Source organism: Homo sapiens, chromosome 19 (assembly GCF_000001405.40).
Source record: "Homo sapiens chromosome 19, GRCh38.p14 Primary Assembly".
Classification (NCBI taxonomy): domain Eukaryota; kingdom Metazoa; phylum Chordata; class Mammalia; order Primates; family Hominidae; genus Homo; species Homo sapiens.
This window is the reverse complement of record NC_000019.10, coordinates 55,510,905-55,525,222: the sequence shown is the minus strand read 5'-3', so window position 1 is coordinate 55,525,222 and position 14,318 is coordinate 55,510,905. Positions and strand designations below refer to the sequence as shown.

Genomic DNA, 14,318 nt, shown 5'->3' with positions numbered 1-14,318 from the left:
TTGTTTTTGTTTTTTGTTTGTTTGAGACAGAGTTTTGTTTTCGTCACCCCGGCTGGAGTGCAGTGGCACGATCTCGGCTCACTTCAACCTCCGCCTCCTGGGTTCAAGTGATTCTCCTGCCTCAGCCTCCAGAGTAACTGGGACTACAGGCACCCGCTACCACGCCTGGCTAATTTTTGCATTTTTAGTAGAGACAGGGTTTCACCATGTTGGCCAGGCTGGTCTCAAACTCCTGACGTCAAGTGATCCTCCTTCCTTGGCCTCCCAAAGTGCTGGTATTACAGGTGTGAGCCACCGTACCTGGCCTTAGTAATTTTGCTTTCAAGTATCATTATTTAAGAAATACATTTTGTAAGGCTATAGCTGTCATATATAGTGATTCCTCTGATGGATCTGGACAAAGTCAATTGAAAACCTCCTGGAAAGGATTCACCATTCTAGATGTCATTAAGAACATTCGTGACTCAGAGAAGGAAGTCAAAATGTCAACATTAACAGGAGTTAGGAAGAAGTTGATTTCAACCCTTATGGATGACTTTGAGGGGTTCAAGACTTCAGTGGAGGAGTCACCGCGGATGTGGTACAAATAGCAATGAAACTAGAATTAGAAGCGGAGCCTGAAGATGTGATTAAATTGCTGCCATCTCATGATAACACTTGAACAGACGAGTTGCTTCTTATGAATGAGCACCAAAAAAAGTGGTTTCTTGAGATGGAAAGTACTTCTGGTGAAGATACTGTGAATGTTGTTGAAACGACAATAAATGATTTAGAATGTTAATAAACTTAGTTAATAAAGTAGCAGCCGGGTTGGAGAAGATTAACTCAATTTTTAAAAATTTTTTAGAGTCAGGGTCTCGCTCTGTCACCCAGGCTGGAGTGCAGTGGCACAATCATAGCTCACTGCTGCCTCCATCTCCTGGGCTAAGTGATCCTTCCATCTCAGCTTCCCAAGTAGGTGGGACTACAGGTGCACACCACCACACCTGGTTAATTTTTTTTTTTTTTTTTAGACGAAGTCTCGCTCTGTCACCCAGGCTGGAGTGCAATGGTGTGATGTCGGCTCACTGCGAGCTCCACCTTCCGGGTTCATGCCATTCTCCTGCCTCAGCCTCCCGAGTAGCTGGGACTACAGACACCCGCCACCACGCCTGACTAATTTTGTTGTATTTTTAGTAGAGACGGGGTTTCACCGCGTTAACCAGGATGGTCTCGATCTCCTGACCTCGTGATCCGCCCAAAGTGCTGGGATTACAGGCGTGAGCCACCGCGCCCGGCCGGCTAATTTTTATTTTCTTCGTACACACAGGGTCTTTCTATGTTGCCCAGACTGGTCTCAAACTCCTGGGCTCAAGTAATCCTCCTGCCTCAGCCTCCCAAAGTGCTGGGATTACAGGCGTGAGCCACTATGCCCGACCTTACTCCAATTTTGAAAGAAATTTTTACTGTGGAGTAAATACTATCAAATAGCATTGCATGCTACAGAGAAATCTTTCATGAAAGAAAGAGTCAATTGACGCAGCAAACTCCATTACTGTCTTATTTTAAGACATTGCCACAGCCTCCCCAGGCTTCAGTAACCATCACCCTGATCAGTCAGCAGCCATCAACGTCGAGGCAAGATCCTCCACCAGCAAAACGACTATGACTTGCTGAAGACTCCGGTGGTCATTAGCATGTTTAGCAATAAAGTATTTTTAATTAAAGTATGTAATTAAATACCTTTTTCTTTTCGAGATAGAGTCTCGCCCTGTCACACAGGCTGGAGTGCAATGGCATGAGCTCGGCTCACTGCAACCTCTGCCTCCTGGGTTCAAGCGATTCTCCTGCCTCAGCCTCCCAAGTATCTGGGATTACAGGCACGTGCCACCATGCCCAGATTAAATACTTTTTTTTAGACATGATGCTATTGTACACTGAATAGTCTACCATATGGGCTGGGGCGGTGGCTTATGCCTGTAATCCCAGGACCTTGGGAAGCCGAGGCAGGCAGATCACCTGAGGTGGGGAATTTGAGACCAGCCTAGCCAACATGGTGAAACCCCATCTCTACAAAATTACAAAAATTAGCCGGGTGTGGTGGTGTGCATCTGTAGTCCCAGCTACTCAGGAGGCTGAGGTGGGAGGATCGCTTGAGCCCTGGAGGTCAAGGCTGCAGTCAGCTGTGATTATACCACTGCACTCCAGGCTGGGCAACATAGTGAGACCCTGTCTCAAAAGAAAAACAAAAGAAAAGAAAACAAAAAGGCCAGGTGTGGTGGCTCACACCTGTAATCCCAGCACTTTGGGAGGTGGAGGTGGGTGGATCATTTGAGGTCAGGAGTTCAAGATCAGCCTGGTCAACATGGTGAAACCCCGTCTCTACTAAAAAATACAAAAAATTAGCCGGGCGTGGTGGCGGGCGCCTGTTAATCCCAGCTACTCCGGAGGCTGAGGCAGAAGAATGGCGTGAACCCGGGAGGCGGAGCTTGCAGTGAGCCGAGATCGCGCCACTGCACTCCAGCCTGGGCAACAGAGCGAGACTCCATCTCAAAAAAAAGAAAACAAAAACAAAAACAAAAATTAGCCGGGCATGGTGGCGTACGCCTGTAATCCCAGCTACTTGGGAGGCTGAGGCAGGAGAATCACTTGAACCTGGGAGGGGGAGGTTGTAGTGAGCTGAGATCGCACCACTGCACTCCAGCCTGGGCGACAGAGCCAGACTTTGTCTCAAAAAAAAAAAAAGTTAAGAAAAAAAAAAGGCAGAATTTGCTTTGGTGGCTCTAGGCAGAGCATGAGATTCCGTGTTTGTAAACAGCTTCCACATGAGTCCAATGCTGCAGGCCCGTGGGTCACATTTTGAGGTGCAAGGAATGTGAGATGACTTTAGAGTATGGATCCAGCATCGGGCCCAGCTCTCACTCACGCAAACCGCTTACCTGCTGCGTTCTTCGGGGCCTCCTGTGTCAGCGCTCATAGGAGATCACATCCATTGCCCAGGGAAAATCAAAGATACGTGTCTTCCTTCGTACCCCTTATCTGATGAAGAAGTCCTCTCTGCTCCAACTTTGTTCTGTGTGTGTGTGTGTGTGTGTGTGTGTGTGTGTGTACCATAATGGCTGTTGAATTTCATCAAATGTTTTTTTCTGCGTCAATTGAGCTTGCTGGGCCTATGCAGCTACTGTTTTGGGCTAGTTGCAAGCTGGCAGGCAGAGGATCGAGCTCAGCTGTCCCATGGGAGGTGTCCAGAGCCAGGGCCAGCACTGGGCGGGGGCTGGCCACCTATTCTGGCCGTGGGCCCTGGGGCCAGATGTTTGGGCTTAAGTGCCTGGCCAAGCAGGGATAGAGTGACTGGGTAATTAAGCACTCCCTTCTACAGAGCTGGCAGAAGGTGGCAGGGGGCGGAGGGGCCTAAGGCCAGAGTGCCCAACAGCCCCCCCTCCACCTCTGGCCTGCAGAGAGGGGCTGGGAGCCCGAACCCCAGGCTGGGCCCTCTGTTACTTTTGGTGGGGGGTGACCCAGGGCCAGCGTTCATCTGCTCCCACCTGGACCTGGAAAAGGAGCCGTTTTCTTCCATGTTGGGGTGCTGCCCTGTGACCCCCCATCTCCCCAGGGCAGAAGCTCTCCCCTCAGCCTCTCCAGGGAACCAGTCAGCAGTTATTTAAGTCTCAGGGCTTAATGAGATCTGGGGAACAGAATTCTCAGCATGCTCCTTCGCCCGCTGGCAGGAGCAGACCGTCCATCTATCAGGACCCCCAGACGTTATCCGCACCCCGCCACCCCCCCGCCCAAGTAACTGGACCCTGTTGGCCTTTGCAGGACTGTGGGGGCGCCAGCCTTCATCACCTTCCACGACCTCTAAGCCGAGAGAGGAGGAGGAGGAGGAAATGGTTTCCTGCTTGAGGCTGCAGGACCCAGAATCAGAGTAGTGGGGTCTTCCGAGACGGCCCCCAATTTACAAACCAGCAAGCTGAGGCACAGAGATGGGAAGGAGCCCACCCACGGTCGCTTGGAGTGGGGCAGTCATGGAAGCCCCAATCTGGAAACGCAGGCCATGGTCAAAGCACGGAAATTCACATCACAGTATTCAGGGTTTGAGTCCCTGGCTCTGCCGTGTGCCCTTTGGCAACGGGCCTGCCCTCTCTGAGCCTCAGAGTCCTTTCTGAAACGGGGATCAAAGTTTCTCCCTCAAAGGGCTGTGGTGAGGACTGGATGTACGTGGATTAACAGTCCATGCAGCGTTAGCACAGAAAAGTACAGGCAGGCGTGGTCGCAAGCACTGTCATTAACTGAGCACATCCTACATGCCACGTTGTCCTTATCTGCACTGCCACATTTAATCCTCACAACCCCATGAGGCAGGTGCTATTGCTCTACCCATTTTACAGGTGAAAAAACTGAGGCTCAGAGAAGGGAGGGAAACTGCCAGAGTTCCACAGCCGGGACATGGTTAATCCAGGACTTGAACCCAGGTCAGTCTGACACAGCCGTGGAATATTTTCTTTCTTTCTTTTTTAATAAAGATGGGGGTCTCACTATATTTCTGGTCTGGAACTCCAGGCCTCAAGCCATCCTCCCATCTCGGCCTCCCAAAGTGCTGGGATTACAGACATGAGCCACTATGGCCAGCCAAAATATTATTTTAAGAGCAAGGGCCCTGAGTGCCAAGCATGGCCCACCACGTGTTCCCTGAGTGATCTGGGGTGCACGACCAAACCTCTCTGTGCCTCGAAGCCCAGATCTGCAGAATGGGGATAAATACAATAATTGCTCTCACATGACGGGCGCTTATCAAGAGCCATCATAAGCACTCTCCTAGGTATTAACTTATTCAATCATTATAGCAACCCCATGAGGTATGTGTACTATTATTATCCCTGTTTTATAGTTGGAGAAGCTCAGACCCAGAGGTTAAGTAACTGGCTTATGTTTACTCCCAGCAAGGACTCAAACTCAGGAATCCAGGCTGCAAAGCTCACCTCCTCATCTGCTGAGCTGTGGTAACACTACCTTCCTCAGCAGGCACTCGTTAAGACAAAATGACATCATCATCCATGCAAAGCTCTTAAAACAGAGCCTGACACATAGGAAGCGCCCAACAAATATTAGTCATGATGATGACGATGATGATGCACTCTTTCATTCAAAAGATATTTATTACTGAGTGTGTACTCTGCATCAGCTTCTGTCCTAGAAACTGGGCTTACATCCATGAACAAGGCCGTTTTTGCTCACACGAAGCTTCATCATTGTCACGACCATCACTATGATCGTCACCAAGATCATCTTTACCACCATAATCACCAACATCATCACCATCACCATCATTACCATCATTGCCTCATCACCAAGACTGTTCCTTCACAGTCATCACCACCATGATCACCTTTCACACCATCATTATCACCTCCACTACCACCATCACCGTCACCATCAATGTGACCATCATCACCATGATCACCACCGGCACCACCATCATCATCATCATTACCATCATTCCCTCATCACCATGACCACTCCCTCATGACCAGCACCACCATCATCACCATCACCACCACCACCATCATCGTGATGGTCACTGCCTCATCACCATGACCATTCCCTCACAATCATCACTATCACCATCACCTTCATTTCACCATCTTCATCATCATCATCATAATTACCACCATCACCACCACCACTATCATCATGATGGTCATTGCCTCATCACCATGACCATTCCCTCATGACCAGGACCATCATCATCATCATGATAATCATCATCATCACCACCACCATCATCATCATCATCATGTCCACCGCCTCATCACCATGACCATTCCCTCATGACCAGGACCATCATCATCATCATGATAATCATCATCATCATGTTCACCGCCTCATCACCATGACCATTCCCTCATGATCATCAGCATTATTTCACCATCTTCATCACCACCACCATCTTACCATTATCACCATGACCCTCACCACAATGATCATCACCCTATCATGATCTCCGTCGCCATCACCATCACGATCATCACCATCATCACCACCCTCATAATCATCTCCATCATCAACACCGCCTGGCATGGCACCTGGGCTATTCACATATCAAAATCAGTCTTGTGATTCTGTCTTTCTAGGATTCCCCAAAAATACCATTCACACCTTGTTTTTAATTAGATACTTTGGGGGTTTTTTTTGTTTTTGTTTTTTTTGGTTGGGGGTGTCTTAAGCCCCTCAAATCCTGGAGAGGGTCACACGTCTCCCCTCAGGGGTCTTTCTTCTTCCTCTGGGGTAGTGGTGGTTGGTGCAGGCATGCTGGTGGTCCAGGCCATCTCTGCCAGTCTCTTCACAGCCTCACCCAGCTGCCCCAGACCCCGGGCAGCTTCTACCAGCTGCGTCAGCCCCAGCAGCAGGGCTTGGCGCTCCTGCCGCTCCTGTTCCACGACCTGGGTCAGTCTCTGCAGCTGACCACCCACATCCCTCACAGCAGCCACCAGCTCCACCAGGGCAGGTGGCTCACAAGCCATGACCCTTACAGGTGGTGTTGGGGCCACACATGGACCATGGGGGCCTGGGCTCTGACCAGGAGTTGGCCCTAGGGTGAGGGGGTCAAGGGGAGGATGATCCAAGGGGTGGGCTGTGGGGGAAAGGAGGGGGTCAGGGGACACAGTAAGGTCAGAGGCTGAGTGTGGGGTATGGGTGGGTGGAGGGGTTAGGTTGGGGCTCTGGCTTCTGGGTGGCTTGAAGTCCTCAGTGGACAGTGGGTCCATGCTTGTGGCTGTGGAGGACCTGGAGGGGCTGGACTCCAAGGCTGGAGAGGGCTCTAAGGTGGGTATCTGGGATGTGGAGGTGTGAGGGGCAGGTGCTGTGAAGGTCAACTGGGGGTGCAGACTGGGCTTGACTGTTGGTGCTAGAGTGGGAGAGGAGAGTTCTGTCCCCAAGGAGGTTGGAAGGGACACAGTAGTGATGACAGGGGTTGAGGAAGGGTCAGGAGTTGTGGGGTGAGGGGTCGTGGTGGGATCAGGAGTAGTGGTGGGGTAAGGGGTCGTGGTGGGGTCAGGAGTCATGGTGGGGTGAGGGGTTGTGGTGGGGTGAGGGGTTGTGGTGGGGTGAGGAGTCGTGGTGGGGTGAGGGGTCGTGGTGGGATGAGGCATCGTGGTGGGCTGCATGGTGGTGAAGGGTTGAGGGGTTGTGGTGGGGTCAGGAATCATGGTGGAGTGAGTGATGGTGGTGGGATGAGGGGTCGTGGTGGGGTGAGGGGTTGTGGAGTGAGGGGTTGTGGTGGGCTGCATGGTGGTGAAGGGTTGAGGGGTTGTGGTGGGGTCAGGAATCATGGTGGAGTGAGTGATGGTGGTGAAGGGTTGAGGGGTTGTGGTGGGGTCAGGAATCATGGTGGAGTGAGTGATGGTGGTGGGGTGAGGGGTCGTGGTGGGGTGAGGGGTGGTAGGGAAGTGAGGGGTCACAGTAGGGTTAAGGGTTGTGATGGGGTCAGGGGCCATGGTGGGATCAGGGGTAGTAGTGGGGTGAGGGCTTGGGGAGGGGTCTGGGGATCTAGAATATTCTGAGACTGTACTGGAGTATGGAGTTGTGTCCAAATCTGGGGTTGTGTCAGATTCTGGGACCTGCTCTGAGGTAGGGGAAAGGCTGGTCACCTCCGACGGTGTAGAAGGGTCAGAGGTCAGCTCTTTGGGCAAGGTGGGTAAGGGCGTGGGTGAGGGCTCCGGGGTCAACGCGGGAACCACACTGGAGTCAGGGGTGGACAAAGCAAAGTCAGGGCTTGTCAAGATGAGGTCGGGGTTCGTCCGGGAGGCCGGGTCTGGGGTGGGTGGTGAAGTGTCCGGAGCGTCAGAGGTCGCCTCGGACGTCAAGGCTGAGTGGGGAGTGAGCTCTCGACTGGAGTCAGAGGTCAGCGCTGGGCCTGGGGGTCCCGGAGAGGCGGAGGGACCTGGGGACGGGGTTGGGGGCGCTGTCCTGGTCGCAGCGGGCCGCGGTGGCCGGCGCTCGGGCCACGGTTTCCTCGGGGAACCTGGAGGAGGAGGAAAGACAGACGGACGGTCTGAGGTCAACCGGCTCCGCCCACCACGCGTCCCGCCCCGCCCCTCGAGGAGCCGACCAATGGAAAGGCACAGAGCCTCGAGACGTCATGGGTCACCGGCAGACTTCACCCGGCCCTAGGGCCCCTCCTCCCTACGTCCTCCGATGGCTCCAGGCGCCACCTGGCGTCCTCCACTGCGGGAGGATGCGGGGATGCTCCGGACTCGGGGATGCCGAGGGGCACGCGGGTTGCGGGAGCGGGTGCAGGAGGGTGAGGTGAGGGAGGGATGCGTGGGGTGCTGGGGTGCGGGAGGGGGCGGGAGTGCTCAGAAGCGTGCAGCATACGGGAGGATTCTGAGCCAGCGGGGGACTGGGAGATGTGCGGAGCCAGGGGAGGCAGGGAGACCAAAGAGGGCTCCGAAGGGTAATGTTAGTAATCAAAATAAATACTTTTATGGATTTTTTTATTTTTTAAGATAAAGTCTGGCTGTGTCGCCCAAGCTGGAGTGCGGTGGCAAGATCATAGCTCACTGTAACCTCGAACTCCTGGGCTCAAGCGTTTTTATGCAATATTTTTAAACAATCAAAATTAATCCAAAAGATCCACAGTTAACCAAAGTTAACATTTTAACCAAAGACGGGATCCAACAGGGCCAGGATTAGGGGGAGCCCAGCGAGGCGGATAGGATCCTGTCTTCAGTGACTTTTTTTTTTTTTTTGAGATGGAGTCTCGCTCTGTCGCCCAGGCTGGAGTGCAGTGGCGTGATCTCGGCTCACTGCAAGCTCCGCCTCCCGGGTTCACACCATTCTCCTGCCTCAGCCTCCCGAGTAGCTGGGACTACAGGCGCCCGCCACCACACCAGGCTAATTTTTTGTATTTTTAGTAGAGACGGGGTTTCACCGTGTTGGCCAGGATGGTCTCGATCTCCTGACCTCGTGATCCGCCCGCCTGGGCCTCCCAAAGTGCTGGGATTACAGGCATGAGCCATCGCGCCCGGCCTTCAGTTACATTTTTGATACCGAGTTCATCATGGGTTTTTTTTTTTTTGGCATTAATTTTCATTTTAAAAAATACTGTATTATGATATTATGTATCTTGATTTTGGCGTTTTGGGCACCCCCTTAAATTTTGGGCCTGAGTAGCAGGAGGAGCCTGACCCTCTTCTGGGGCTGTCTTCCAAGTGAGTGCCAATTTTATCCCCATTTTACAGAAGGGGGAAATTAGGGCAAGAGGGCAGGTGACTCGCCCAAGGTCACACAGACATAGTTTGCAAGTTGCAGGGCTAAGACTTGAACCCAAGTTGTTTGCACATAGAGTCTAGGCAATGAAATCTCACATCTGCAGTGATGGGAATGCGCTGTGATCTACCGTGCCAATACAGTAGCCACTGGCCACATGTGGCTACCAAGCCCTTGAAATGCGGCCAGTGTGAATGAGAAACTAAATGTTTCATTTTCTTTTATTTTATTTTATTTTTTTTTTTGAGACGGAGTCTCACTCTGTCGCCCAGGTTAGAGTGCAGTGGCACGATCTCGCCTCACTGCCAGCTTTGCCTCCCAGGTTCATGCCATTCTCCTGCCTCAGCCTCCCGAGAAGCTGGGACTACAGGCGCTCGCCACCATGTCCTGCTAATTTTTTGTATTTTTAGTAGAGATGGGGTTTCACTGTGTTAGCCAGGACGGTCGCGATCTCCTGACCTCGTGATCCGCCCGCTTCGGCCTCCCAAAGTGCTGGGATTACAGGCGTGGCCACTGCGCCCGGCAAATGTTTCATTTTCAAAGTGTTAATTCATTTAACTTTTTTTTTTTTTTTTTTTTTGAGACGGAGTTTCACTCCTGTTGCCCAGGCTGGAGTGCAGTGGCGCGATCTTGGCTCGCTGCAATCTCCGCCTCCTGGGTTCAAGTGATTCTCCTGTGTCCACTTCCTGAGTAGCTGGGATGACAGGCATGTGCCACCATGCCCAGCTAATTTTTTTGTATTTTTAGTAGAGATGGGGTTTCACTATGTTGTTCAGGCTAGTCTTGAACCCCCGACCTCAGGTGATCTGCCTGCCTCAGCCTCCCAAAGTGCTGGAATTTCAGGCGTGAGCCACCATGCCCGGTGCTCTTAGCTACCGTATTGAACCACACAGATCTACAGATTTCCACTTGTTCCTGCAGGGCAGGGTCTTTCAGGCGCATCCCTTCCCCACCTTGTCCTTTGTTTGCAGGATTGGAGAAGCGGTTAAGTAAAGGGCTTGTGCTCAAGGCAGGCTGTCCGAGTTTAAACCCCAGCTGCATGGCTTCCTAGCGGGGTGACCACGGCCAAGTTACTTCACTGCTTGAATCTCAGTTTCTTCCTCAGCTATAGACTGTGGATGATCCGCGTATCTCCCTTGCAGAGCTGTCAAAAGGACTCAGGGAGACCATGGTTGTGCAAAGCACTTAGTGTAATGTCTAGCATGGAATAAGCACTCTAATAATTATTGATGTCAGAGTCACTGATGTCTGTGCCTCAATTTCACTCATCTGAGAAATGGGCAAAATTATAGATCTACGTCATGGAGCTCATGCAGATTTCCTTCCCTCCTTTCTCCCTTCCTCCCTTCTTCTCTCTCTCTCTTTTTTTTTTTTTTTTAACAGAGTCTTTCTCTGTTGCCCAGGCTGGAGTGCAGTGGTGCGATCTCAGCTCACTGCAACCTCCGCCTCCCAGGTTCAAGCAGTTCTCCTGCCTCAGCCTCCCGAGTAGCTGGGATTACAGGCGCCTGCCACCACACCTATTATTATTATTATTATTATTATTATTATTATTATTATTATTATTATTATTTTGAGACAGAGTCTCACTCTGTTGCCCAGGCTGGAGTGCAGTGGCGCAATCTCGGCTCACTGCAAGCTCTGCCTCCTGGGTTCACGCCATTCTCCTGCCTCAGCCTCCCGAGTAGCTGGGACCATAGGTGCCTACCACCACGCCTGGCTAATTTTTTGTATTGTTAGTAAAGACAGGGTTTCACCGTGTTAGCCAGGATGGTCTCGATCTCCTGACCTCGTGATCTGCCCGCCTCAGCCTCCCAAAGTGCTGGGATTACAGGCGTCAGCCATTGCAGCCAGCCTAATCATGCTTAACTTTACTAAATACTGCTGGATTGTCTTTATCAAACAGCTCTGTCCAGTGGGGTTGCCTGTCTTCCCACATCCTCACTCACACTGGATAATACCCACCTTTCTCATTCTCCTCTGTACTTGCCATTGTTTTAATTTGTATTTTCTGGTTCCTGATGAGCGTGGGCATTTCTAAATACACTCAGCCATTTGGGCTTCCTTTTCTGGGAATCACCTGTTTTCCTCTTTCTCATCTAGGGTTTCCTATCATTTTCCTATTTGTCACAGTGACTTATGCCATCTAGGCTGGGGTTTCTCAACCTCGGTACTATTGTAATTTAGGGCTGGGTGGTTCTTTGTTATGGGGAATGTCGTGTGCATTGTGAATGTTTATCACCACCCCGGCCTCTACCGATCAGGTGCCAATGGGTAGCCTCTCACTTCCTGCCATGACAATCCAAAATATCTTCAGATATTGCCAAATTCCCCTTGGGGGCAAAATCGACCCTAGTTGATGACCAGCGGTCTAGATAATAACCTCTTGGTTCTGTTTTTGTCTTTATTTGAGACAAGGTCTCGCTCTGGCACCCAGGCTGGAATACAGTGGCACAACCACAGCCTCGAGCACCCAGGCTCAAGGGATCCTCCTGCCTCAGCCTCCCAAGCAGCTGGGACCACACGTGCGTACCACCACACCCAGCTAATGTTCATATCTTGGGGGGCTCACCATGTTGCCCAGGCTGCTCTCAAACTCCCGAGCTTAAGCAATCCTCCCAACTCGGCCTCCCAAAGTGCTGTGATTACAGGCATGAGCCACCATGCTCAGCCGATAACCCTTTGTTTTAGGGTATATTTCTGCTGAGTCTTTCTGGGGTAAGGGTTCCAGTGGGGAGTCTGGAATCTGTCTCTTTACCCCAGGACAAATACCGTCCCAGTCTCCTCACCCCAGCCACGTGTCTCACCTGTGTCTCCATGGACTCTCAGAGTTGGAGGACTGCCTGGGCTCCTGGTGGTGCCAGCCCCAAGAGTTGGTCCTAGTTTGCCTGCGGTAGGGGTCCCCTCAGCCAGGCCCCTTCCTGATGGTGTGTCCCACGTCCAGGGAAGCTTGTAACCATCTTTGCTGCCTAGAGAGATATGGGGAAGAGGATTGAGTCTTCCAACTTCCCTTTGAGTTTGACTCCCCGTCTCTCTCCTCCTGGGCCAGCCCCAGTTCAGGCATCATCCCGTCTCAACTGCACCGCCACTGCAGCCCTACCTGACCTCGTGGAGACCTTCTCCATTCAGCTGGGATGTTTTTGGCTACCAACGACGGAAACGGTCACTAAACTAGCACATAAAATGAAGGGCATTTGGGCCTGGCGCCGTGGCTCAAGCTTGTAATCCCAGCACTTTGGGAGGCTGAGGCAGGCAGATCACTTGAGGTCAGGAGCTCAAGACCAGCCTGGCCAACATGGAGAAACCCCATCTGCACTAAATATACAAAAAATTAGCTGGGTATGGTGGCACACGCCTATAATCCCAGCTACTCGGGAGGCTGAGACAGGAGAATCACTTGAACCTGGGAGACAGAGGTTGCAGTGAGCCAAGACTGTGCCACTGCACTCCTGCCTGGGTGACAGAGCGAGACACCGCCTCAAAAAAAAAAAAAAAGGAATTTATTATTTTAATTCCTCAAGGCTCCTGCCCTAGCGGGGGAAAAACCATAACATCTTTATTAATTCACTGCCTGGAACATCTCTATAATACTATTTTTCCTTTTTTTTTTTTTTGGCCAAATGCACTTAATCTCTATATAATAGCAATTTTATATAACATATAAATGTATAATATATATACATATATGTATGCCATTTTATTTAGGGAGAATAGAATGATAATTCAGTCCTAGCTTTATACAAACAACAGCTTTCTTTTCTTTTCTTTTTTTTTTTTTTTGAGACCAAGTCTCACTCTGCCACCCAGGATGGAGTACAGTGGCGCAATATCGGCTCACTGCAAGCTCTGCCTCCCGGGGTCAAGTGATTCTCCTGCCTCAGCCTCCCAAAGTGAGCTACAGGTGTGAGCCACCGTGCCCGGCCTCAACAACAGCTTCCTTGAGATACAGGTCACGTATCATGCAATTCATCAGCTTGAAATTGCAACTGAGGGGGTTTACCCACTCACAAGCTTGCGTGACCATCGCCACAATCAAAATTGAGAACACTTTCATCACCCGAACAAAACACTCCATACTCATTGCCTATCCGAATCATCAAACCAACTTCCCCTGAGACCCTGGCCCCCCACACTGATCCTGGAGGCCTCTTAAAAACTGGCAGACACCTGCCCCTTTCCACCCTAAACCCTTCCATGAGTCCCCACGGCCCACAGACACCATCTTCCTTCATAACCAGCCCCTGCCAGCTTCTCCAGCATCGTCTCGTCCTACACGATGCTCTGCTCACGCTGGACCCTGACCTTGAGTTAGGAGGGCAGGTTTGCAGTGTTTAGGGAGACATGCCTGCTTCCACAAGCAATTCCACAAGGAGGTGCTGAGAAATCCTTACCCATGAGCCCAGGGATTCATGGGTACAAGGAGTTCATAGCAGCCATATTTGTGACAGCAAAACACTGGGAACAACCACAACGCGCAGGCTTTTCACACCTCCCAGCCTCTGCCCACGCTGCCGCCCCCACCCCGAATTCCCTTCCTCTTCATTTCCTACCCAACTGAGCCCGTTAGGATGTTTTCTCATTCCAAACGCAAAACCAGGCAGAAGGGCAGTGTCCAAGACCTTGGGCAAGTTGACCGATGTCGCCTTAAGCTCTGTGGCTAGTGGTCCCAATTACAGAAATCCCTTGCTCCGTTACCTGCTAAGACACTGCACGCTGATAGAACAAGGGTCAAATTTCACCCTGATGCCAGGCACAGCAGACACCTCCGTCATGCCTTCGTATTATTAACCATTCTTAATCAAATACCTTTCCATTTCTATTAGACACCTTAAAAGGGTAGCTATAAAATCCTACCAGATATCCATACCCATTAGGAAACCTGAAAAACCATTAGTGGTAATGGCCGGGTGTGGTGGCTCACGCCTGTAATCCCAGCACTTTGAGAGGCCGAGGCAGGCAGATCACCTGAGGTCAGGAGTTCAAGACCAGCCTGGCCAACATGGTGAAACCCTGTCTCTACGAAAAATACAAAAATTAGCTGGGCATGGTGGCGGGCACCTGTAATCCCAGCTACT

At 51.3% G+C, this 14,318-nt stretch overlaps 1 protein-coding gene across 1 annotated transcript in view, besides 4 other annotated features; it reads right to left on the bottom strand.

Moving 5' to 3' along the window:
* Positions 3,607 to 3,757: a silencer, noted in NCBI's record as "fragment chr19:56032833-56032983 (GRCh37/hg19 assembly coordinates)". NCBI's record gives its function as "represses an EF-1alpha promoter that drives an FKBP-Casp9 reporter gene in an ReSE screen in phorbol 12-myristate 13-acetate-treated (for megakaryocytic differentiation) K562 erythroleukemia cells {active_cell/tissue: K562(+PMA)}" and the evidence as "EXISTENCE:reporter gene assay evidence [ECO:0000049][PMID:32094911]".
* SSC5D (scavenger receptor cysteine rich family member with 5 domains) overlaps positions 6,124 to 14,318 on the bottom strand; it is a 30,664-nt gene continuing 22,469 nt past the window's right edge. The window contains exons 13-14 of the mRNA NM_001144950.2: positions 12,051 to 12,212; positions 6,124 to 7,999 (exon numbers count right to left, since the gene is read on the bottom strand). Coding sequence (NP_001138422.1) covers positions 6,225 to 7,999; positions 12,051 to 12,212 — 1,937 coding nt within the window. The 3' untranslated portion in view covers positions 6,124 to 6,224. The remainder of the gene's footprint in view (positions 8,000 to 12,050; positions 12,213 to 14,318) is intronic.
* Positions 7,816 to 8,317: an enhancer, noted in NCBI's record as "H3K4me1 hESC enhancer chr19:56028273-56028774 (GRCh37/hg19 assembly coordinates)". NCBI's record gives its function as "activates a minimal SCP1, AML or CMV promoter by ChIP-STARR-seq in primed H9 embryonic stem cells {active_cell/tissue: H9 hESC(primed)}" and the evidence as "EXISTENCE:reporter gene assay evidence [ECO:0000049][PMID:30033119]".
* Positions 7,827 to 8,006: a silencer, noted in NCBI's record as "silent region_11042". NCBI's record gives its function as "represses an Ori minimal core promoter by ATAC-STARR-seq in GM12878 lymphoblastoid cells {active_cell/tissue: GM12878}" and the evidence as "EXISTENCE:reporter gene assay evidence [ECO:0000049][PMID:35858748]".
* Positions 8,137 to 8,296: a silencer, noted in NCBI's record as "silent region_11041". NCBI's record gives its function as "represses an Ori minimal core promoter by ATAC-STARR-seq in GM12878 lymphoblastoid cells {active_cell/tissue: GM12878}" and the evidence as "EXISTENCE:reporter gene assay evidence [ECO:0000049][PMID:35858748]".